The sequence below is a fragment of the Homo sapiens genome, chromosome 10 (genome assembly GCF_000001405.40).
Source record: "Homo sapiens chromosome 10, GRCh38.p14 Primary Assembly".
Taxonomy (NCBI): Eukaryota; Metazoa; Chordata; class Mammalia; order Primates; family Hominidae; genus Homo; species Homo sapiens.
Genome location: NC_000010.11, coordinates 131,350,007 through 131,351,387, shown reverse-complemented (window position 1 = coordinate 131,351,387; position 1,381 = coordinate 131,350,007). Strand labels below are relative to the sequence as shown.

Genomic DNA, 1,381 nt, shown 5'->3' with positions numbered 1-1,381 from the left:
GAGGTGGGCTTTCCTGCAAGTCAACAGCTTCAGTCCAGCACTTTTGTCAGTTGGCCTTGCCCAAAGGCCACTGCCCAGCCAGAACAAGCTTCTGTTGGCGGTGTTTCCACCCAGTCAGTGCCTGAAGACTGTCCCTTCCCTCCTCCCCAGCCTCATCATGAGAGGAATTGAGCCGTTCCCCATCATCTGGTGTGTAATACCCTCATCCCCTACCCACTAGGGCTTCCCTGGTGGTTCCTCTGGGGTGCACAGGAGCTTAGGAGACCCCCCCAAAGACAGCACTTTCCCCTCCACAACCCTCAGATGCTCTGGATCCTGGCGCATCTCACTTTCTCACCTCTGGGAATAGACAATGCCTTCAGAGGCTGAGCTTTTACCAAGAGATTATTTCCTTCCAGCAAGGACAACCGCAGTTTGGCTCTTTGAGATTTATGGACAATAAAACATCCCGCACACATAAAGAAGTGCTCACGACAGCCACATGGTGTGTCTGGCAGGGACTGCAGAGGAGGATAAAAGTCTCCTCCTCTGCGTTGTCGCGTTGTCGTTCTGTTATCCTGGCCACCTTTCAACCTCCGGGTGTATTGTTTGCATCCATGGAGAAGAACGGAAATGCATCTTAATGCAGCCATCCCACTAGCTGGAGGACAATCAGAGGGCTCTGGAGGGGAACCAGCCCAACAAAACAATAGCCGACAGTCTGTAGATAAATATTACATCAAACAGCAAATCTCCGGAGTGCGATTGATCCTTGGGTAATAAAGATTGAACACAAAGATTTCCCCCAAAGGCGACCCACACAACTCACATGAATTTTCCCTGTGCAAAACCTCCACCAAATGGGGGCTTTGGCTGAATGCTGCTACATTTGCTGGTATCTGGCCCTCACAACGGGGCACCAAGAATTAATGCATAACAAAGCTCCCAGCCTCTGCAGCTGGAAGACCCCACTTCCTTGAGGACTAAATGCATCTCTCTTCCTTCACTCCCGGGAGCAGGGGTTGCTTGAAGGGGAAATGAGAACTCGGGGCTCTGACTCCAAGCCTGTAACATCCATGACAAGTACCTGGGACTCAAATACTGATTCTGCCCCTCAAAGCCTGGGATGGGGCCCGGAAATATGCCATCAAATGAGTGCCCAGGTAGGCGAATCTACTCCTGAGCAACAGACACACTGAGGAGTGCTGCTGCCTTACAGGAGGATGAGGTGGAGGAGCAGCCTCCTTTGTCTGTCTTTCCGAGGCAAGAGGGCCTGAGGTCCAAGGATCAGAAGGAACAGAGGGACTGCTGCAACCCAGAGACAACCAGACCCAGGTGTCTGCGACAGGTCAACCAGAAGCCCTGGCTGCTCAGTGAAGGTGGTTAGAAGGAGGGTGGTTGC

General features: G+C 52.4%; 1 annotated feature.

Annotated features, from left to right (window-relative positions):
• Positions 653–1,155: an enhancer, noted in NCBI's record as "OCT4 hESC enhancer chr10:133148496-133148998 (GRCh37/hg19 assembly coordinates)". NCBI's record gives its function as "activates a minimal SCP1, AML or CMV promoter by ChIP-STARR-seq in naive H9 embryonic stem cells {active_cell/tissue: H9 hESC(naive)}" and the evidence as "EXISTENCE:reporter gene assay evidence [ECO:0000049][PMID:30033119]".